This window comes from Homo sapiens, chromosome 17 (assembly GCF_000001405.40).
Source record: "Homo sapiens chromosome 17, GRCh38.p14 Primary Assembly".
In the NCBI taxonomy this organism is placed as follows: domain Eukaryota; kingdom Metazoa; phylum Chordata; class Mammalia; order Primates; family Hominidae; genus Homo; species Homo sapiens.
The window spans coordinates 66,519,765-66,544,366 of record NC_000017.11 but is presented as its reverse complement, the minus strand read 5'-3'; the positions used below and the strand labels follow the sequence as shown (position 1 = coordinate 66,544,366).

At 43.8% G+C, this 24,602-nt stretch overlaps 1 protein-coding gene across 11 annotated transcripts in view, besides 2 other annotated features; it reads right to left on the bottom strand.

The window, feature by feature from the left end:
- Window positions 1-24,602, bottom strand: part of PRKCA (protein kinase C alpha) — a 508,131-nt gene that overhangs the window by 266,377 nt on the left and 217,152 nt on the right. The window lies entirely within an intron of this gene.
- Window positions 1,887-1,936: a silencer, noted in NCBI's record as "silent region_8864". NCBI's record gives its function as "represses an Ori minimal core promoter by ATAC-STARR-seq in GM12878 lymphoblastoid cells {active_cell/tissue: GM12878}" and the evidence as "EXISTENCE:reporter gene assay evidence [ECO:0000049][PMID:35858748]".
- Window positions 10,637-11,177: an enhancer, noted in NCBI's record as "H3K27ac-H3K4me1 hESC enhancer chr17:64529308-64529848 (GRCh37/hg19 assembly coordinates)". NCBI's record gives its function as "activates a minimal SCP1, AML or CMV promoter by ChIP-STARR-seq in primed H9 embryonic stem cells {active_cell/tissue: H9 hESC(primed)}" and the evidence as "EXISTENCE:reporter gene assay evidence [ECO:0000049][PMID:30033119]".

The following is a 24,602-nucleotide window of genomic DNA, read 5'->3' as shown; positions in this document are numbered from 1 at the left end:
TCAACATTTTCTCAATGATCACAGTGGTGACCTAGAATACTAGTGTTTATAGTATTTTGGTTCACAGCATTGGGTTCATGAACTACATGGGGGTCTTCTTCCTAAACTAAGTGGCCATGAGAAATCTTTTGTAGTTGTTGTTTGAGATGGGGTCTCGCTGTGTCGCCCAGGCTGCAGTGCAGTGGTCTGATCTTGGCTCACTGCAGTCTCCACCTCCCGGGTTCCAGCGATTCTCCTGCCTCAGCTCCCCCCACCACCCCAGTAGCAGGGACTACAGGTGTGCACCACCACACGTGGCTAATTTTTGTATTTTTTTTAGTACAGTCAGGGTTTCACCAAGTCGGCCAGGCTGGTCTCGAACTCCTGACCTCAAGTGATCTGCCTGCCTTGGCCTCCCAAAGTGCTGGGATTACAGGCGTGAGCCACAGCACCCAGCCTAGCAATCTTGTTTCTGTACAATTATGGGGCCTGCTGAAGTTCAGTCCTGCTCTCACTGAGTCTACTGTTTTACCATCCTCCCATTTTCTGCTTCTGACATTTGACACCAGAAAGCCAGCAAACCAGGCTTGTTCCAGAACTTTGGGGTGTAGCCTTTTCTATGGTGTAGGGTACATGGACTTCATGATGCCTCTTGGGATTGCTAAGTGTCTAACAATGTTCAATTCTGTCTTCACCACAGCACTATGTTGCTTCGTATTTCTGCATTATAAAATCTGCCTGATAAATAATCCGCTTGTTCCTCTCATATGCTGACAGATTTCTGCATGGTCAATGGAGCTTAGAGTATATAAAATACAAGTCTGGGAGAGTTTCCTTATAGTTCAAATATATAAATTTAATGTTCAAAAGAATGTAATTGTTTCAAGCAACATACTAGTAGACAAGCTGGAACTCACTGATTTCATTTCATTAGTCTCAAATAACAAAGGGTACTTCATAGCATCAAAAGCCAGACCTCACAATAACTTATGTTTTAGTATCTTACAGTATCTCATTATATAAATAATAAAATGACTAGGGTTTTGGTGAGAAGGAAGAGAGAAGAGCCACATGGTATTCAAAGAATGCCAGGAAACCACAAATACTGCATTCTTTTGAACATTAAATATACTTGAACTATAATGGAAACTCTCCCAGACTTACATTTTATATAAATACACTAAGCTCCATTCACTGTGAAGAAAACTGTCGTCATACGGAAGAAAATAAGTTGATTATTTATCAGGCAAAATTTATAACACAAAGTGCTAAATCAGGCACATTGCATTAAACATTATACTGACTATAAACAAGGATAGAAATTACGGAAGTGCATAGCTTTGGAAATTGAGTGAAAATAACAGCATAATTCAACTTTAATTGGATGCCTATAGATGAAACAATAATTGACTCTTAACTGTAACTCCAAGATATTTTATGACTATAACATTTTCTAAGTAATCTACTTGAAAAATACCTCATTGACTCATCAAATCCTATCTTTAAAATGTTACCCTCGTTCCAAGAAAATCACATGCATACACTAGAATGAAATGACTTGTCAAATATAATTTGAATCCAGTAAAACAAAAAAAGCATTAATCTGTACTTTCTCATTAATAGCAAGATAATTTTCCAAGTGAAACACACACAATACAATACACATTTGTTGAGACTCCCCAATGGCTCCCACTTGTCTTTCCAACCTTCATATCCTTCCACAGGCCTTTGCAGAGGAATCCCTTCCGACTATCAGTCTCTGAAGAATTCTCACACTTCCTGACACCACACCTCTACTCAGGGTGCTCTGCCCTCCCTACTTGGGACTATTGTGTCTCCTCACCCAAGTCTTATTGGAACATCTTTCCAGGTCCTTCATAACTGCTCTATTTCCCAAGAAGCCTTCTTGGGGCAGAAATAATCCCTCCTTGCTCTCACCCCCATGGTACTCAGCACCTGGTACTCTCATGTGCGACTTCTATGCTCTGGGTTTTCTCACAGCACACATGGCTTACTAACTGCCTATCTCCCAACCACACACAGGAAGCTCTTAAGGCCAAGTAGCACCACTGTATGTCCACAGAAACTAGCACAAAGACTGTGCACATACAAATTAATTGCAAACCACATCGTGAAAATCCTAAGCATAAAGAAAGAAAAAGGTCATATTTTAATCACCATCTAATACAGAACAGTTTCTTAAGGCCTCTCTGTAATAATTTTAAAGTTAAGGGGAAAATGCTTGGCTCAGTCCACTCCGTATAAACTCCTTAAACATTAACTAGTAATTTTAAAAGCATGAAATGACTTTCTCCCCTGGGGCTTTATATAGAACCATAATAACCGCAACACGAGCTTCAGGACTCTGCAATTGCCTGATACTAAAGTCCCACTGTGAGATTCCACGTGGTGGCTTGTTATCAGCCTTACATAGAACAAATGTGGTCAGCCAAAAATTTACTGTGGGGCTCAAAAACATTTTAGGGGCTCATACAAGCTTAGGGCCTTGACATTTAAGTGATAACTGAGAGGCATGCACTGATAGAAAATCCTCAGAGACTCAGAAGAGTTTTAAACAATGCAGTTGTACATTTTTATAGGGCACATGTTCTGAAACCTCAAAAATAGATATGTAAATGTCATCTGAAGCTGTGTCATTTTTACTTAATTTTTGGCATAACCTGTCGCCTCAAAAAGTCTTTGTGGCTTGTGTATGGCAGGCAAACGGTGTCAGATGCACTTCCAAAGTGCCATGAGGCGTGGACTGGACGTCAGCTCTGCTTTGCACGTGCAATTCCTGCCTGCAGAACTGCAGCTAGCATCTGCTGCCTCTGGCATCTGCTGCCTCTGGATGAGCCTCTATTTGGAAAGTGGGAATTATTTTTTCTTCCACATCCAAGACCAGCAGAGTAGCTTTCAATCCCAGTCAACTGCTCTTTGCCGCAGAAATCAATATAAGCAACAGAGGAAAAAAACAATAAAGGGGCTAAGCCTCCAAAATCTTGCATTTTCCCTTGGCTCGGGCAAAGGTCCCCTCATTTCTTTCAAGAACACCAGAGGCAAGAGTTTGAGGTGGGGGCCGCAGGAGCACGTACCACAAGACCTTCTTACTGAGCCACAATCTGCAGCTAACTCTTGGTCAATCTGTGCAGTGGAGAAGCGGCACACAACATATCAAAATCTAGTTAAAAAATAAAACAAAACCCCTCATGGTCACATCTTTGTTCAAACTATCTTACTAGAGCTCGTGCTTCCAAAGAATCAGATAGACTCATTTGAGAGTCTACTCTAAATCTTGCCCTCCCCTGTAGCTGGAATGGTCCCTAAACAGCTCTGAGATGGCCAGAGAATACCAGTGGAAACAGCTAGTAACAGCCACTTCCTACCTCTGTAGGGTTCTACCAAATACTTGCACATACCTTGTCTTATTTGGTCATTTTCCACAGTGTGGGATACCATAGGTGTGACCATTTTCTCAGCTGAGAAAAGGGAGGCTCAGGGAGTGCACAGAGAAATATACAACGGAATAGGTCCAGGAAGTGCCAGATCTCGAGGTCAAACCATGATACTAATAATTACCCTCGACTGCCTCTGTTGTAAGCCACCATATTCAATCTTTTGATAGACAGAGAAATGGGAGACTCAAACAAGTGACAGAGACAGAACCGGGGGTTTCACACAAGGTCTCACAGAGCCTACAGCCTGAATTCCGTCTCAGCCTAGGAACCCTCTGCAAAATCCAGATGTTTTGCCTTCAGGCCCAGCTGGCCTTCGACCACAGAGCACTCACAAAGTGCAGCAGGGCCCCGCTGGGAGGCCCCACTCCACTCCGAGTGCTGCTTCTAACTGCAGCCCCCGCACGGCAGCCCGCCACCCAACTGACTGCTCTGGGCTATTTATGAGATGGTCCCTGCTCTCGGGAGACGTCCCTCTTTGGATTATTCATCCTCTCCTCACCCCCAAAGCAGCAAAACCAGCACACGCCGTCCCCCCAGCGTCAAGCCCCACTCCAGGGTTTGCAGGCAGCTGCCTCCCTCTCCGCCCCCTCTTTTAGAGACAGTCAGGGCTCCAGACTCTCCGCTGGGCTCTGTGCTGAATGTTACCCTTTGTCTCAGAACCCTGGGCTGGCTCTGACGGCTGGAAAGCCTGAACAACAATGATGAATCAGAGTATTTATTTTTGAGGTTTTCTCCAAGCTGCCTCTTCATCAGCTCTGAAATAGCAGCATTCAAGCTGCCACAGACACTTCCCGAAGTTTGCTGGCCTAGGGTTCCCAATGGGGAAAACATCACCTCCCTGGCAACAAACACAACAGCCTCCTAACACCCCTTCTGCAGGAGAGGCACCAACTGCATCTCTCCAAAAGACGGGTGGCCTACATGTTTAAATTGATTTTCGAAATTATTTTCAAATCCCTCGGGTTGCGTGAGCAAGGGTGGATTTCTATTTCTAAGTGTGGTGACCTTTTCTAAAACTGTTTTATGCTTTTCACTCTTCTGTGATTGGTGCCACCTAGGACTGCACACTGCATTCATTTGGTGTGTCTGAGTGAGCTGTTTAATCCAGAACAAGGAAACTCATCCCTTCAAATCTGAATTAAAGAAGCATCTCTCTGGGTACGATGAGGTTTTCTGATGTAAAACTCTCATCTAAAAGTTAGCCATTCTTATTAAGATTGAAACCTTAGGCCGGGCGCGGTGCTTACGCCTGTAATCCCAGAACTTTGGGAGGCCAAGGCGGGCAGATCACAAATCAGGTGATCGAGACTATCCTGGCTAACACAGTGAAACCCCATCTCTACTAAAAATAAAAAAAAATTAGCTGGATGTGGTGGCGGGCGCCTGTAGTCCCAGCTACTCAGGAGGCTGAGGCAGGAGAATGGCGTGAACCTGAGAGGCGGAGCTTGCAGTGAGCCGAGATCACGCCACTGCAATCCAGCCTGGAGGACAGAGCAAGACTCCATCTCAAAAAAAAAAAAAAGATTTCAAAGCTTAAATTAAATGAATTTAATGAAATAACTAGCCTTGCAAAAGGGAAACGTAAGAATAACTCACAAATTAGAAAAGTATTGTTTCTTGCTGTGCTGCTTGATGGCTTGTCACAGCAGAACAATATCCTCCACCCAAAGCGTTTATTTACACACATACACTCAGCCTGACGTTTAAGAGTGCAAAGGAGTTTTTAAAAAAGGCAGCTGGGGAAAAAACAAGAGTGAAAATCTGAGGACACCACACAGAAATACAATGATGTCTACACATGAAACTCAGTCTCCAATAAAAAATGTTTTAGTACATTTGCCTGTGAACAGATGAGCTTTGGTAAGTGTTGAGATCAGAAGGGAGTGGACTGTTCTTTTCATCACAGTTCCGAAGATAAAAGGAGAAGTACAGACTGCTGATAAAAGTCTGGCAGCATAACTGTTAATATGCCTATGCCTTCGATGAGGGCCTCAGATACCGGGGCTCAGGAGACAGCATGTGGTCAGCAGAAATGGCGATGCTGTTCTCCCTGGGATGGCCCTCCTGGGTCCTCTGGGCACATTACACTGTCAGGTAGTTTGCTAACTGGAATGCTTTCTGGCTAAGAGCAGAATTCTGTTTTGCTACGGTACTCATTCCAACCTATGAAGGTTATCCTCAAATCCCAAATGCCACTAATGCCCATCACTGGAACTGGACAGTACTGCCCACAAGGGATGAGAATAAAAACAGCTGCCATTTACTAACTGCTGGAGATCCCACCAGATGCTTCAGGTCTACTCATTACTTAATTCTCACACAGCCACCCCACTCAACCAAATAAGCTTGAGGTTTTCTCCAAGCTGCCTCTTTATCAACTCTTAAATAGCAGCATTCAAGCTGCCACAGACACTTCTCGAAGTTTGCTGGCCTAGGGTTCCCAATGGGGAAAACATCACCTCCCTGGTGACAAACGCAACAGCCTCCTAACACCCCTTCTGCAGGAGAGGCACCAAGTGCATCTCTCCAACGCAGATGAGTGAGGATGAATAAGCCAAAGAGGGATGTCTCCCGAGAGCAGAGACTGTCTCATAAATAGCCCAGAGCAGTCAGTTGGGTGGCAGGTTGCTAGTCTCCCATTTTGCAGAAGAGGAAACTAAGGTTCAGAGTGGTTAAGTAACTCTGAAAGAGGCACAGCTTTAAGTGACAGAGTTGGAGTTTCAAAGCCACATTCTTTACCCTGTGACACATCTCCAGAAGGGATCAGCTCTGGGCCCTCACTACTTCCAAAATAAAGTCTTCAGTAACATCAAGAAAAAGAAAAGGAGTCAGGCGTGGTGGTGGCTCACGCCTGTAATTCTAGCAGTTTGGGAGGCAGAGGCGGGCAGATTGCCTGAGCTCAGGAGACCAGCTTAGGCAACATGGTAAAACCCTGTCTCTACTAAAAATACAAAAAATTAGCTGGGCATGGTGGCGTGAACCTGTAATCCCAGCCACTCGGGAAGCTGAGGCACGAGAACCCCTTAAACCCAGGAGGTGGAGATTGCAGTGAGCCGAGATCATGCCAATGCACTCCAGCCTGGGTGACAGAGCAAGACTCCATCTCCCAAATAAACAAACCAGTAAAAGAAAAGGCACCATGCAAAGGCTCCTGGATACAAAGCAATCTCTTACTCAAAAGAAATATAAAACGTCTAGGAGCTTCAGAAATGGGGAAGTGGAAAATACTTCTATTTTGTTCAGGGAAACGTTGGTATTTTTCTACTGCAAAGATGAGATGGGAAGATGACAAGTCTTAAACATATGCTAAAGAAAGTTCCATCAGATTTGTGTCTCATGACTTTTCTTATGACATGCTCTGAAGACCACACGGCATTCGGATGACAGAGAAAGCTGTCTATACAAAATCTTCCCAAGAATGTTAATATTTAAATGTTGCCCCACATATGGAACCTGAAGAATCCCAACTACAGTTTCAATCAAATCACAAAGAACACTTGGCGTTTAACAATGCAGTTGTGATTCTTAACACTACCTCCTAATATCCTTAGATCCTTAGAGCAACAGACTCATAAGGTTAGAGTTCATTTCAAAATTTTGTACTTTCTCAATCATACTTACCTGCAAGCTTCCACTTGACATCTGTGGCCCCAAATAATTCTCACCATAAATTATGGTAATAATTTACTTTGGTGGACCTGGCTTTGGTGAATTACAGACCTCAAAAAGAACAAAAGGACTGAAATACCGTGGTTTTCCTCCCCACCTCTGATTTTGGGTAGGCAAGAGTCCTCAATTCCTGGACGCATGCTAAATTACTACAAATAAAAACAGCTTCAGGAGCACAGTCGGGGCTTCCCTGAGAGTAAAATTCACAAGGAAGAACTAGAGCCCAGAGAGTGAATTACTGAAATAGAGGTTCTAATAACTGGGGTGATCTACACAAAGAATGCCCAGCTGTATGCACTGGATATGGTGGAGAGGATTTTACAGGTCAGCTCTGTAAGACCAAGCCCCCATCGTTCACCTCTATCTATCAAGCACTCATCTCAGGGACTGGACCCACATGGTGCTCAATCTGATGAGTACAGGAGGATAGAAGAAAGGACAGGTGGCTAAGTCTGTCCCAGGAATCCACAGGAATCTGTCACAGGATCCACTGCAGAAAACTGCAATTCCCACGGGAGAAGAGCAGTTGGAGCCTGTCTCGTTAGCTCTCCTTACTAAAAACAATGGTAATAAAAGTGATAACCACCATCATTGATAGCTTCTACTGCTGCCATTGGTGATGATGACATCAACAGCAGCATCCCCCCTTCTGCAGCTCAGAGGGGTTAAGCAAGAAGCCCAAGGTTACATGGCCAGTAAGGGAAGAAGCCAAGATTCAACCCTGGTCTTCCGGCTCCGAAGTTAACTACATTTATGCTATTCTAATATTTCAGATATTTTAATCTGCATTATCCTTCTTTTCCCAGACTGCATAATCTATGCTGTAACCTCACTAAAGCCTTTCCATGTGGGTTTTATTTTTCTAATCTTGTGTGTTTTCTGTGGCTTTTCTCTGAATGATTGATCAGTGGAGGATCTATCCCCAAGTCAGACATCTGCATTCAGATGGTCTGAACCGGACAGAGTAAAGTTCAGGGAAGTTCTGGAAAGTTCTGAACTTACACCAGGAAAGTTCTAGTCACACAGACAAATAACTCATATTTCTTACACAGCATTTTCCTATCAGGGCTTCTCAATGTCATTTGGGACTGTGATCAGAAATATGCTGAGAGGACTGCAAGAAATGTCAGAATTGGAGAGGCAGAGCATGTGCCAAAAAATAAAAATAAAAATAGAGCAATTAGTCCAAAACCAGGTAAGAAACAGAAATTATGAGTACATTAATATCAGAGGACAGAAGCCAATAGCTATCCAAAGTCAGGCAAATAATTAATAATCAGGAGAATAAGGAGGGGAAAGAAAGGAAATGCTGTCCATTCAGTATGTTCCAGGCATGATGCTGTTTTGATGTAAGTTTTCACTTTTATTTCAAAGGTAGGTATTTTAGTGAAAAGGAAACTGGAGGTCTGGCTTAGATGATACAACCCCACAGCTGTGGGGGCCCCTCATTAGAAGGAGGGGAATGGACTAGAAGAGTTTGTGGTCTCACAGTGCACTGATATCCTATAATTGTTTAAATCTTGTTGTGAGAACAGAGATAGTGACCAGGTAGTGAGGAGATCCCACTAGGATTCAGAAGGGAAGGACAGATCCAACAGGGAACTGACACCAGCTGCCAAGAAAAGGTCTCAGGCTCTGGTCGTCTGCAGAACCCCTCGAGAGCTGTGTTTTGTGCCCTTACTCTGGTGAGGGCCAACCCCAAGGAAGCTGGGCCAGCACAGAGCTGATGGGGACACCCACCCCATCAGTTAGAGGCCTGTTTGGCAGCAGGGGTGGGGGAATTTGGGTCCAAGATGGAGCAGGTTAAAGAAGCTGCACTGCACATTTGTGTTTTATTAACTATCCCACAAGACATCAATACATATCTTTTCTGCCATATGTTGGCTTGAGGTAAGAGCCCCTAACCTGATGGACACACAGATCAACAGATGGCCTATTTATACTCAAAAAGATCTTAAGGAAGCTTCATCCTTGGTGAGTTTTCCCATCTGGCAAAATATGAGATGTGCAAGAGGCAGTGTAGATGGGCAGTGAAGGGTGGTTAAAAGTGGGAATTCACAAATCACAACGCAGGTTCAAGTCCTGCCTACTGCTGAGTATGCCTTGGAGGAGTTACTCAACCTCTCTAAGCTGTTTCTTTAGCTACAAAGCAAAATGGTAACAGCGCAGTCTCAGAGAGTTTGGGGATAATTTGAGGAATAATTCACATGAAGTGCTGAGAACAGCACCTTATAGGTAACACACACAGGGTAAATGCTAACTACTATTATTACTTACGGTGGTGGCGGTGTAAGTAAATAATTGTAACAAAGCATTCTTTATACTCTAATCCCATTGAAATGGAAATATATTCCAATCAGAAATCTCCGGATTAATAAAAGCAGCATATGACACTAGACAGCCTAAGTCTACCCCAGGCAATTCCCCTTCATGTCACTGTCAGTAAAGAATCATACAGGAGAGAGTCAAATTACCATGAGTCCTTAAGAAGGTTCACTTGTCCATTTCCCTCATGTTACAAGTTTATTACTCAAATACATTGGGCCCCAACATTCAGAAAGATCAACTTGTGATTTCTTTTTCTTTTCTTTTTTGAGACAGAGTCTTGCTCTGTCACCCAGGCTGGAGTGCAGTGGCGTGATCTCGGCTCACTGCAAGCTCCGCCTCCCGGGTTCACGCCATTCTCCTGCCTCAGCCTCCCGAGTAGCTGGGACTACAGGCGCCCGCCACCACGCCCGGCTAATTTTTTGTATTTTTAGTAGAGATGGGGTTTCACCATGTTAGCCAGGATGGTCTTGATCTCTTGACCTCGTGATCCGCCCACCTCGGCCTCCCAAAGTGCTGGGATTACAAGCTTGTGCTACCACACCCAGCCCAATCAACATGTGATTTCAAATACTCAGACTACAAAACCCAAGAGGAAGTCAATTAGGGATAAGAATCGACCTTCATCAGATATGAAATACCAGCAGAATACACAGAAGACAATGGAATCTCCCTCATGCCTCAGAGACCCCAATTCCGCCTGCTAGTTAGAACAATAATAACTGACCCAGTTCCTACCCGAGGGGAATATGCAAATACAAAAACTTGGCTCCAACAAAGAATCGTGGTCAGCTTCACTTGGGAAGAAAGTGGTCAAGGTGAATGTAATCAAAACTAACCATTTTCTAATTTTTTTGGGGGGGGTGCGGGGGGCAGCAGTTCCAGAAAAGGTCATGTTCTTCTTATTGCCTCTAAATGACAGAAACACATAGGCTAACAGTTGGAAGCTCCACTTCCCACTCCTCCAAAAGGCAGGGCTCCATAAACACTGTGGCATTACGAACGAACAAAAGGAGGGGCTGATGCGCTGCAGAGTCTGACAACCTCCAGACAACTTGTTTAAATGCCTGAGAAGCCGGCTTGTCTGCACTGCCCTTTCCAACAGCCTCTACAGGGGAACACATTCCTCTGCAGCAGCAGAAAGAAGCCTGAGCAACTAAAAGCCGCTCCCCCGAGTCAACAACAGCCTTGCAGGAAACTCGCAAAAGGAACGGGGTCTGCCTGGCCAGTGGGGGCGGCAGCCTGGACAGTCTCCTCTGGATCTTGCCTGGTTGCTTAAGACCAACCCACTGGGTATCAAATTAAAGCCTTAGATGGGAAAAATGAATGGGCAAGATGAGTCTGTAAACCAGGAGGAGGCAGAAGGCTGACCCTACCACGTTTCTCATTTGCCTAGCCAAATTCAGCATTCGTTATAAATCAAGCAGTCAATACACAGGCTAGCAGCCTTGGGTGCGACTTGTTTCAAGACACATGCCCTTAATAATTATTCTGAGGCAAACCAGGGGGGTCAGGACAGGCCAATACTGAGCTCCAAAAAGGGATGCAGTAAAACAGGGGATTTGGCCAATGCCCTGTTGCCTTTAGAGGAGAAAGGCCTATCTCATCAGAATTAATGGTGAGCCCAGGAGCAGAGGAAACATTTCTTCTTTTACGCAAACCAAATGCAGATACATTGGTTAAGAGAAGACGTGATGGGAAAAAAGTAGTGAATTCATGAAATTTATAAAAAGGGGCCTATGACTTTACTGCTGTTTTAGGGCATCCCTTTAAGTATCACTTGGTGAGAGGAGAATAAGTGTAGGAATCAAAAAGGTATTCTCTAAGAGGTACATCACAAAGAGCTCTACCGTTTGAAGTCTCCTCTTCCTTAAAATCCACTTCCAAAGGACTGAAGTGTTGTTGGCTGCCTAAGGTTACAATTGCCTTCCAGTATTTTCCAGCCGTGGGTTCCCCTTCACTGAAAGAAGGGAAGCAAACGTGTCTGTTTTGTGCTAAGAAAGCACTGTTCCACTCCCCGGGATGCTGTGTGTGCAAACTAATTCCACCGACAGCAGCAGATCAGCTGCTGGGAATAAACCCCTGAAGAAAGGCCTTGTGTACCTCCCATGTTCAGGAGAGGCAGCAAGGCAACTTGTCCATGGTCACAGCAATTGACAGCAAGGCCAGATCATCAGAGGGGATGTGAGTGGAAGGAATTCTAGTGAGTCCTTGCAGTAGGGTTTTACCCCATGCAAAGAGGGAAGGAGATGGGGTTGCAGTTAAACTTCAAGGATGGGCCGGGCGCAGTGGCTCACACCTGTAATCCTAGCATTCTGGGAGGCCGAGGTGGGCGGATCACCTGAGGTCAGGAGTTCAAGACCAGCCTGGCTATGAACTCTGTATCTACTAAAAATACAAAAATTAGTCGGGCATGGTGGTGCATGCTTGTAATCCCAGCTCCTCAGGAGGTGGAAGCACAAGAATTGCTCAAACCCGGGAGGCGGAAGCTGCAGTGAGCCAAGATCGCACCACTGCACTCCACCCTGGGTGACAGAGCAAGACTCTGTCTCAAAAAAAAATAAAAAAATAAAATAAAATTCAAGGATGAATAAATGCTTATGAAAAACTACAAGTCAGTGGGTGGGGGTGGGGGGGGAGGGGGCAGGAAACAACCAGCAAAAAGATAATGAATCATCACGTGACTTTTTTAAAGCTCTGAATTGGCTCCTTAATTCCCTCTGAGCAAAGATGGTGGGGACAGACTCAAGGGACTCAAGGTTGTTCTTTTTTTTTTTTTTAATTTTACCAGAAGTGAGTCACTTGGGAGTAAGAAAATCCATCCCTAAAGGCAAAACCATCTGCAATGTTCCCTCTTGGAAATTCACCCTGATCTGCTCAGCAGTGGAACATGGTGCTCTGTCAGCAAAGGCGCTGAATAATGCAGGAGCGAATCCACAGAGGGCTGGCAGAGGCTCGGCAGCTTAGCTCCTCAGCCTAGAAGCCGAACACAGCTCCTCTCTGGGAAAATCAAATTCCACCCCTGGAAACATGGGCTCCAGACTATGAGGTCTGGGGAAGGAAAACAGCACAAAGATAAGTTTGAGAAGAAAGTCTACTCTTCAAGTCCCTGGTCACCAACCAGGACTTGCAGATATCCACAATGTCTGGCATCCATCAGTTCCATTTGACACCCTGAGGACTGAGGCCTGCCAATAATACACGACACAGGTGTGAAAAGGAATGGGTGAGAGAGGCTTATTTAACCCTTGAAGGGAGACAGCAGTGACAGGAGGCCACCAAAAGGTGATTTGTAAAAACATCAGTCAGGTTGCTGCACCTGAAACAGGGCACTCTGTAAAAATAAGACTCCAGGGAGCCAACAACCCAGGGGATTTTCTGCCTCCTGACAACAGCCACAAAAGGAAGCGATCGCCTACATCCACAGGTGAAAATAATCGAGCTTTAGGCAGGGCCTCTCAGCCCAGGTTTCACATTAGGGTCAATGGGGGAGTTCTGGCAAAGCAAGGATGCCACCGGCTCCCACCCCGGAGATGTGGATTTAATGGACCTGCAACCTGCCCAGGCTGCCATGCTTCATTTGAAAGCTCCTCGGAGGACTCTGCAGTTCAGGCAGGGCTAAGAACCACTGATCTGAAGAGTACTTGGAAGAAACGGCGGCTCCAAGGCTGCAGAACCCTATGTGAACGCGGCTCCTCCTGCCCTCCAGCTGTCTCTGGCTGTGCAGATGAACATGCAGGAGTCCTGCTGGGGCCTCTGCCCATTTAATAGAAGGCTTTCCTGAAGCCCTGTGCTCAGGTGTTTCCTGAGTGAACAAGAGCCAGCAGAGACTACCGATGGAGCAAAGAATGTTACTGAAAAGCTCCTAATTGCCAACAAAAATCTAAGTAATCAATAGAGCAACTAAAAGTGTTGTCAGGAAGACACAACGTGGGCCCTTGTGTCCCAAAAAATCTAAGTAATCAATGGAGCAATTGGAAGTATTGTCAGGAGGCCCCCAGGGTATAAGAGAAGGAGGGTGGTGGCTGTTTAATCCATACCAGGGGCAAGGTAGGGAGCACAAAGATGATTTTTTTTTTAGATCCTCCACCACTTGCCCCAATATTACCACCTCTGAAACGCAGGGAAGCAATATTCACATTTTAGGCAGCTTGATGGCAGGGGCACTGCGCAGAAACCTGCAAAAGAAATCCCTGGATTCTCTTGCCCAGCTTCCACTGAGAGAATGCCTTCAAGTAGGTCAGTGAGCCACCCTTTTCCCTCAGGAAACATGCAGTTGATCCCCCTAACAGCAATAAGAAAATACGGAAGGTTTGGAAGCCAACACCTGCTCTCTTCTTTGGAGCAAAGGACAGAGAATGCTGGGAAACATTCATTTTCTCCCTCTTGAAAACTGAGAGTCAAGCTGAGGGCTGAAAAGAGGCAGCAAATTGCAAAGCTCCCGTGGTGCTTTTGATATCCAGCCATCTCTATAGCTGAAAAGAAATAGGTGTTATTTGATGATATTTTCTTTCTGCCCAAGTATTTTTCAGTTTCCCTGTTTTGGGAGAACCTTAAAAACTGAGAGTACACTGACAGGTCAGGTGAGGTTTATTATTCTGCCATCCATGTATGCATATATTAATGAGTCTTGGTGTTTCAGGGTCTCTGGGATTCAATAAAATACATTCATGTGTTTATTCCTCCTTCCGTCGCTCAAACCAAAGGATTGTCTCAATGGGCATGAATGTACTTAGGTTGTATCTCCACCATGACTGTTCAAAATCTTTGATGAACTTCAAGACGATAAGGATTCTAGCTAGGATATGCTTTGCAGCTGCCAAAGAACACTGAACATGGGGCAGGAACCAAATATCATCCATTTTCCAAGAACTGTTAAGGGTGCATTCTATGGACAATCCAAAGCTAACGTGGTTCCTAGCAGCAAAAGGAATCCTACTTCCTCCCTGACTCAGTTTTCCTTATTGCATGTCGCAGATCTGGGATGACAGTTAAAGAACCAAGGAGGAGGAAGGAAAAGTATCTGGAGTCAGCTGAAACATCAAATGTATTTGATTAGTCTGGCCAACAGGCAGTATAATCAGCAGCTTATTTTGAGGCTTAAGAAGAGAATTTTGACTGTGATTTAGCCAGCTAAGACATGAGCCACAGTACTCAGGGACTTAGCACGAGGACTCATAAAAATGAGCAATGGCCCTAGAGTGCTTCCATAAGGACATTTTCATAATGATCTTCGTTTTGTTGCTCAAAATATGTAAGACTCACCTTGGGACAAATACAAACAAATGAAAATTTTCCAAAATCTCATTTTACCTGTGGAGAAAACTGCAAAGACTGACTATGAGATTTTGTCATACCACCCATGGGCCACTCCCTCCCAGGTGACCCCAGGAAGAGCTCATCGGGTAATGTCAATTCCACCCACAAGTGATGGGAAGGAAGCTTGATGGCCCGTGAGCTCCATGGCCCTTACCAGTGGCTTCATGAGGCATGAGCTCCTTTCATCAATGAGAAACAAGGCTCTGCAAGGTCACACGGCCCTGCAGTGCTGGAGGTAAGATGAAGAAATGACTCTTTGAACTCAAAAGCCCACCAGGTCAGCTGCTGGTGGAAGTGAGCGGTTAGTCTTATTCACGTCTTATAACTTGGAAATCGCTGGACAAAATAGGGATGGAGAGAAAATCACTATTACCATAATGTCTATGTTACAGAATGCTATTGTCATCTTACAAAATTTGTGAAAGTTTAAAAACGTGTTTTTAGCTTAAAACTTGCACTCAAACTTTTGCAAAGACCTTAACTACAAGGACACCAATAGTAATCAAAGATGATATTTAAGGTCAAACTCTACTGAAAACCAGAGAGAGGCTTAAAAACAATAAAACAACAAGAAAAAAGAAACTGGCTTCTCCATTAAGGCTGGAACCATTTGAACCCAATACATCAAAACCCAAACTGGAGAACAATTTGGCTGGGCTTATTCATCATTTGTACTTGAATGTGAACTTGAAACTCTACCATTTTTCCCTCCTCTAACATTTAAAAGTCATCTGTTGCCTCTTAGTCTTAACCAACCAAAGTAAACTCACAAGCACCCAATCAAAATACACAAACTAAAATACACTGTACTTCCAACTATCATTTTAAAATATCTTCCCTTCCAGTCTTATGTGCCATATTAGTTTTTCATTGCTGCTGTAACATAATACCACAAACTTAGTGACTTAAAGCAACACAAATTTATTATCTCACAGTTTTGGGGTCAGACTTCCAAAATGAGTCTCATAAGGCTACAATGGAGGTGCTCGCAGAGTTCCGGGGGCCCCTGCTTCCTTGCCTTTTCCAGTATTAAGAGGTCACCTGTATTCCTTGGTTCATGGCCCCTTCCTCCATGTTTGAAGGGCAACCCTCCCAACTCTGCTTCTGCATCCTTTTGTGAGTTCATCCCTCACTCTTAGAAGGTCCTTTGTGATTACACTGGGCCTACCCAGATAACCCAGGGTAATCTCTCACGAGACCCTTAACTTAATCACATCTGCATTATGCTCTTTTCCATGTAGGAAAAACACTCACAGGGTCTGGATATTAGGACATGGATATCTTCAGGGGGAAGGCACATCATTCTATCTACCACATGTACATACCTACTTATTCTATGGTTACAATCACATACCTGCAGCAATTATGCATCTTTTTTTTTTTTTTTTTTTTTTTGAGACAGAGTTTCGTTTGCTCTGTCACCCAGGCTGGAGTGCAGTGGTGCCATGTCAGCTCACTGCAACCTCTGCCTCCCGGGTTCAAGCAATTCTCCTGCCTCAGCCTCCTGAGTAGCTGGGCTTACAGATGCCTGGGCTTACAGTAGCCACCACGCCTGGCTAATTCTTGTATTTTTAGTAGAGACGGGGTCTCACCATCTCACCATGTTGGCCAGGCTAGTCTCGAACTCCAGACCTCAAGTGATCCGCCCGCCTTGACCTCCCAAAGTGCTGGGATTTCAGGCGTGAGCTACCGCGCCCAACCTGTATCATGTTTTTAATGGAATACTGTATTAAACATTTTCCGTATTTCCATACAGTCACCAAGATTATTGTTTTTAAACCAAATCAAGTCCCACCCAGTTAAAAAGATCATTATGAATATATTTTAAGGGGGTGGAAAAATACAATGGACAGTCTTTTCTTTTAAAATGTCTTTGTAATATTTTACAAGAAAGTGATTTTAGTCCTTAAAAAGTAGAAAGAAGAATAAACAGCAGTACAGATATATGCTGACCCATGAGGCCTGGTCAATTACTTCCATCACAATACCAGAGCTGACGGGAGGAGGTTTGAGCAGACAAAGGTCTGCGGCATTTCTCATGGGAGGCAGGCAGAGCGGATCAGTGCCTCATTCTACACAAAACACAATCAGATTGTCTTTCAGCAGAACAGAAATAATCACCCTATTGTCTAACATCATGAATGACCCGCAGAGCCACAAAACATTAATAATAAAGGCAAAAGTAGCAACTGGCTCCCTCATTTGTATGTCCTCTAATCTGCAATTTGTCGCCTTATAAACTTTAAGGATTATGACCTGTGGATGCAAATTGCATTGGTCATCAGTGCCAACAGCCAGGCACCAGGATAACTTTACCTCCTATTTTACCTATTTTATAAAAACACAGAATAATGAGAATGCAAAGCACAGTAGGAAAATCCTAAAAGGAACTGGGGCGGGTATGGGGTGGGCAGGTAGAGAGGCGGAGATTATAGCCAAATGGATTCTATCCAGTTGCATCATATCAAACAGGAGTCAGCTAACTTTACCTGCAAAGAACCCGGTAGTCAATGTTTTCAACTCTGCAGGCCACTCAGTCTCTGCCTCAAGTATTCAACTGTCTGTGGCAGGGCTGAGCAGCTGCACACAAGACACACACAAACCACTGGACATGGCTGTGTTCCAATAAAACAAGCCTTGGGCAGGATGTGGCCCAATAAGCTATAGTTTGCAACCCCTGGTATACAAGGAAAGACAGGTGTCTTCAATGTTATACGCAGACCAAAGTATCCCCAAACTGCTTCTTCACCATCTCCAAACTAATTTACCTCTCTGCTCATCTTTAACAAGTCTTGGCTCTTCTTAGGAGTCACACAGACACAGGGGTGAATATCATTACTGGCTCCAAATGTTCATCCCTGGCTGTAGTATCCATACCTTTTTTTTCATATGACTTTGAAATTCCTCCCCTAAAGATACAGTCTATTTCCCTGCTTCCTAACTTTGAGCTTAGCCATGTGACTCACTTTGGCCAACATAATGAGACAGAAGTAACGACATGCCCCTACCAAGCCTAGAATGAACCAGACTTAGTGTTTCTGCCCATCCTCCTGGGTTTGCCTTGCCCCCTTAGCCCTGGGAAGAGCACACCCAAGCTAGCTGCCCCAGGTCAGAATTGGAGAAGAGGTACGGCGCAGAGTCCATTCACAGCCTCACAATGAGAGGCCGAGATGCCTAGCTGAGCACAGGTGAAATCAGCCAACCCTCAGGTGACATGCAGATTATGTCTGCAAGTGATAACATGACTGGAAGCGATAACATGATTGTTGTTGTAAAGCCACCAACTTGTGGGGTGGATTGTTAGGTGACCATAGCAAATTAATAAATCCATTAATCATAAACCAAACCACTTATTTATTTCAAAGCCACCCAATCATCTTCACTGAAAACCATCTCCTATAATAATTTTCGGATATACATATAGGCACATATTTCAGCTATATATTTAATTACTAATAAATGTTCTCAAGATTTCCTCATAGTTATGTGTAGCTGCTTTTATCCACTGATCAAAACAGATTTCTGTAGAGCAATATACAGTTAGCATACACAATTTCCAAAAATGTTTCAATCACAGCAGTATGTCTTTTAGACCATTTCTTTAAACATATGGTATATCATTATCATAAAGGCAATCTGGAACCATGACGACTCTTATTGTTTATTTATAGGAAGTATTATTAGCAAGGGCATTAAATAAAATATTGTTTATAAAATAATTATGTGCACAGAATGTTCCCAGACCTTCTTCTGAATTGAAAAAAAAAGAGACTTTTGGAAGACAGGAAGAAGAGTATGGAGTGGCCCTGACATGTTTCTGTTTAATTCATGAAGTCAGGAGTTTATTTTCCACTTTGGTCCCACACTTCTGATATTACTGAGTCATGACTTTCATCAACACTTCTAGGAAAGAAATAAGTGTCAGTCCCCCAGAATGAAACCACACTTGTCCAAACTCTGGTCAGGGTCATGTTAGTCCCATACCTTTCCAGTACACTCCAACTATTTACATCCATCTGAAGCAGGTCCATGAGCCCTGGCGATCTTCCACCCTTCACTAACCACTGTCTCACACGTGCCAGCGCTAATCTGTCTCTCTCCACAAAACACGTGTACAGCTGGGCACCAGATTTCAAGTGGTTCTTTTCCAAAAATGTGTCTCTAAGTGGATGGTCCAAAATGTGAAAGGCATTTTCCAATGCCAACCTTCCAGGGCCTATTTCATTCATGACAAATAGGAAATATATTAATATCTATATTAAGTTCATAAATATTTACATCTTTCAATTATTAGTAACAAAAAAATATGATGCTGATGGTGAGCATCTTGAGACTTTAAGCTGGTGAAAGCTCATGCAGCTGCAGGTGCCTGATGGCCTAACTCAATGGTGCTGGTTTGTTTTACACTCATTTCTGCTCCACGTGGTCTCTCATCCTCCAGGAGGGTAATCAGAACTTCTGTGGCTGCAGAAGTTCTGAGTGAAGAAGCAGGAGTGGGATATGTGAGGTCTCTTAATACCTCAGCTCAGAACTCCCATGATGTCAACTGCACTGCATTCTGCTGGTCAAAGGAAGTCACAAAGCCACTTGACTCACAGGAGTAGAGAAATAGACATCTGACTGAAAGCATGGCAAAGACACGTTATAAGAGAACATGTAACCAGGATGGGAGGATCTGTGGCTATTCTTTGCAATATACTACATATACCTAGCAGTCACATATTCTATTGTTTCTACATAAAAAGGCATTGTGGTTTTATGATTTAGTCTCCTTGCAGGGAAGAGGTGGGGGAAGTGATCTTGGATAGAGGAAGACAGACCCAGATACCTGTCACAGACTCCTCCTCACCTGGGGCAATAGGCAAGCGTACCTTCCAGGCCAATGGCACTGTAACCTAAGCTCTGTGAGCACAGAGATTTGTCTGCTTAGTTCACTGCTGGATACCCAGGGCACAGAAGAGAACCTGGCCCATAAAAGGCAAGCAGTGAAGATCTGTGAAATGAGAAGAATAGACATCTCCTAGGTGTTCTGATTGAAAAATTACAGAAGAGCTCTGCAGTAGGAGATGAGAACTGGATTCTCACATCTAAGATAGTACTAACTGTACATATGGGTCATCTCAAGTCAACTGTTTATAAGTCAGGGACTACCCGTATTTAAAATTAGAGTAGAGAAATGATGTGCTAAGACATTCCCACATCAGTCTCCCAAAACAACAGTAACAGTTTCTTGTGACTCAAAAACAAATGAAAGCATAATGAAGGATACTTCCTATATTGTTCCAATGTAACAAAAATGCTCTTTGCTAACTTTAAAGGAATCTGAATCGCAAGCAACAAATTAGCAAAACACACAGTCTTCCACTGAACAATGCCCCTTACAGAGTATCAGGAATTGAAAATCAGGGCACACAGTAAGTTTTGGGAAAGAAGTGCAGTAAATGTTTTTGTTGAATGTTGGAGCCAGAAGACCCTAGCAGTTGTCTAATCCCCCATCTCCTCCCACTCACACACACCCTGTATATGTTGCAGAGGCTGAGGCCTGGGAGTTGCGAGGCTTGTCTGATGTCACCCAGCTAGTCAGCAGCACAGATGGGATAAAAATTGAGGAGTTCAGACTCAGCTCTGAGCTCTTTCCACTACACCCTGCTGACAGTTTTCAGCCTTACTTGCAGCATAAACAAGCTTTTGAATATAAGCAACTATAAATAGTAATTAGTCAGAGTCTTGTATTAGATATGTTGACATCATCAGAAGGCAATTCTGTTCATTACAAGCCCCTCTGACGCTCGCTCTGAAAGTTGCTGCCTTCTTCATGTCCACCAGGCACCACCCTGGACCTGCCTTAGGTCCAAAGTGCATCCTTCCAGCATCTTCCGGCAATCTGAGCTTCATTACAATGTCCCCTCCTCCTGCCGGAACTCACCAAATAGTCAGGTGCATTCGCTTTTTCTCAGCCATATTCAGGGAAGGGAGCATGATTTTTCTAATTCTTTTGCATGTTCCCACAGTACTAAGCAGGGATCTGACATACACATTTTGGTTAAACATAAGCTAATATTTACTGAATGATTACTATATGCTGGGCAAAGAGCTAGGCATTTTAAATGCATTATTTCATCTAATTCATCCCAAAACTCTATAAATAAGTAGGATTGTTTGTCTTCTGCCCACAGACAAACTGTGGTCTGGAGAGGTTAAATGCCCTGCTCAAGGTCATACAACCAATAAAAGATGTTGATGCTGAGATTCAACCCAAGTGCTATTTGACTCCAAAGTTTGTGCTTTTTAACTCCCAGTTTTTCCTAAGAATGACCTGCCTGAATTTCGGGGAGGAACTGGGGGAATGCATTTTGGAAAGTATCCCAGGTGATTCAGATGTGCAGCCAAATTTGGGAAGTCAGTGCCCCACACTCTGAAATCCTACACTGATTGACTCATCTTGCTTCTTCTTCTGCAGCCAGAATGACAGTGTGACCAGAACCTGACCCAAGCCCACCTCTACCAGGTGACTCAGGCCACACACACTTCAGAGAGTACTGTCTTCTCTCCTGTATACAAACTTTAATCCTTCCCATCCAAATCCTCCCTGGCCATCTCTGGATACTGTTGGAAACCGGAGGGCACCAAATCTTTATTCCGGGATCAGTAACAGAATTCATGATGACACCAAAGGTCTATCAAGGAAGTCCTGGTGGCACAGCCCAGGAAGAAGCAGAAATCAAGACCCCACTGGATTCATAGTAGGTTTCATTATGAATAATGCCCTCTTCCTTTGGGGCCTGGCTTCTTCTTTTTTTTTTTTTTAGTGAGCGACCCACACATACTACACATCAGCCAATGACAGACCCAGCTAGACAGTCTCACACTATTTTCCCAAACTTCAGAACAGACACTATGGTTTTCACTGCTATGCACATAAACTGTGTGTCTTAACCTTCCCTCCTGCAAGCATGCTTCTAGTTTGCCTTGGGCAGCTGGTTCCTCCCCTTCAACAAAGGTGGGGTTCAGCATGAACCCCCAGTACAGAAGGAATTCGGTCTCTTTATTCCACAAGCACACGGCACCTGGCGCTGGACTGAGCCTCTCTGGGAGATCACAAACAGGAGCTTCCATTTCCATCCCACATTTCACTTCGCTCAAGGTGCTCCTACTTCGATTACTGTCCCCTCTTCCCCCTGCCTATTCTCTCCTTTCGGTCCTGCCAACTGACAAGAGCTCCTTTCTGCCTAGCATAACTGAGATAAACTCATAAAGATACTACTAAATGCTAACAGGAAATAAACATAGAAACTGCAAGAAGTGAAAAAAAAGTGGGCATTATAAAACACTGGTGTTCTCATCCTGCCATAGTCAGGTTCCACTGGCTTTGCCCCAGGTGGCCTGCCATTCGGGGTATCCACCAGCTCTCCCCAGGGGCACGTTCCTCCCACGGGGCTCCTGGTCCACATCCACCTGCAGGACCCGTCGCCCAGGAGCTCCCTACTGGACATGTTGAGGGATGTGTGCTCCAAACCAAGAGAAAGACCCCTGTCTCTGTCATACAGGGTGGAAGCTAAAATATGGCTAAGATGGAAATGAGAGATTGAATAGTAGCTAAGGGAACCACAGACTGAAGAAAGAATTCTTTCAGAGCTAAATTTAAGTTCATTCCTCAATTCTTTCCTTCACTCAAGTATTTTGTTATTTCAAAGAGCATTCTGTATTCTGAAGATTTATCTAACACTAGAAACCAGGTGTCCCTATTTCCCAAGCCAGTGTTCTTGCCTTTCAAGGAGTCAAGAAATACAACAATTCTTGACCGTATTTTCTCTTCTCACACATATGGCATAAATCCATAAACCCAAGAGGCATTTATTCTCTACAAGATATTTGAATTTGGCTGAGACTGGTCTTCTTTTTCTTGAAAACAGTCCTACTGCATAAAGTCCTTCTTTTCAATATTTACTGTAACTTAACACACTAAAGAATCCAGCTCCAGCCAGATGACTTGATTCATCACTGCATAATTGGATGTTTACTTTTGTTGTCCTAATTAGCCAGAAAGGAAAAAAAAAGTCACAGTTTAGTCTTTCTTAGAGAAAAGATAAACCTTATTTTCTCATTTGTACCATCTTCTGGAATCTTGGGAGATAGTACTTATTAGAAAAAGTTAAGCGTGAAAAGCAATTGAGAATTAAAGAAAAAAAATCTCTGTGGCCATGCACGACCATTATCCTTACATAGGAGTTTGCCTCTGGATGCTGAAATCATGTTTAAAAACTATAAAAATGAGAACTCTTTTATGGTCATTATACTTTACACTATAGATCGCCATCACTATAATATGACATTATTACCATCTTTGGACTTCTACACTATATAAAAACATGAGTTAGCAATTGCCAAATACTTCCTTTCACTGTCTGTGAATATACTTGCAAGAGAAACTGCAGACTGCTGCAGAAATCTGGTAAATGTCAAACATTTTTAGTACTTTTTTTTTTTAAGGGGGCAATTTCCAAATCAAAATTAGTTGGAGCTGCAGTTTGGTTTGTACTGAGTGGACAGATGCCCAGAGTCCTGAGGCTGCCACAAGCCACACTGTCCCCGAAGCATCTCCTACATGAAGACCTCCTGCCTCCTCATTTGCCAGTGCTGCCCTGGCATGGAGACTTTTAAATCATTGTATTTTTAAAAAACATTCTATAGCAGGCTTTTATAAAGCAATAAAATCAGGAATGACAGACCTCAGAGAATTTCACTGTCTCTAAAATAGCAGTGGCAAGTGGTACTGGAGTCATTTTACTTTTCCTGATAAGTTTAGGAAGAAATCTTTTAGGTTTTAAAAGTCAGAAATCAGCAGTCACATTGGAATAGGAATGAAGAATATAGAGTAGAAAAGTGTGGCCAACTGTTTCCTTAGCCCAAGGAGAAAGTATAATTCTAAATAATAAATCTGGATACCTGAAATTTAGGGGAAAAATGGTTGCTAACTGCATTACCTTTGATAAGTTGAACTTAACGTGCCTTTTGATAGCAAGACAAATACAAACTGTGCATTCAAAGTTATTCTGTTCTTTGAAGTGGCTCACACCTGTAATCCCAGCACTCTGGGAGGCTGAGGCAGGATTGCTTGAGGCCAGGAGTTTTGAGACCAGCCTGGGCAACATAGCAAGACCCTGACTCTATAAAAGATTTAAAAATTAGCACGGTGGGCTGGGCATGGTGGCTCACACCTGTAATCACAGCACTTTGGGAGGCCGAGGCGGGTGGATCACCTGAGGTCAGGAGTTTGAGACCAGCCTGGCCAACATGGCGAAACCTCATCTCTACTAAAAGTACAAAAATTAGCCGGGCATGGTGGTAGGCACCCGTAATCCCAGCTACTTGGAAGACTGAGGCAGGAGAATTGCTTGAACCCAGGAGGTTGCGGCGAGCTGAGATCACACTATTGCACTCCAGCCTGGGTGACAGAGCAAGACTCTGTCTAAAAAAAAAAAAAAAAAAAATTATTAGTGTGGATGGCATGTACCTGAGGCTATAATGAGCTATGATCAGATCACTGCATTTCAGCCAAAACAGACAAACAAACAAACAAACAAAACAAACCAGTTATCCTGGCCTTCCAATAGCTTAGGAATCCAAAAGCCACCTTCTCCAATACCTTATTTTAACAGTGAAGTGTATGAGCTCTGGGAATTGCCAGGAATCTTACATGGTAAGGAGAACTGCACTCAACCATATCCAAGGTAATCTTGGCCCCAGAAACATAGTCTAGGGTTGTGATTCTCAAACATAGGCATTACTTGGAGAGCTTGGGAAATGCAGAATGCCAGGCCCCAGCCGCTGCCTTGCTGCTTCAGAAGATCT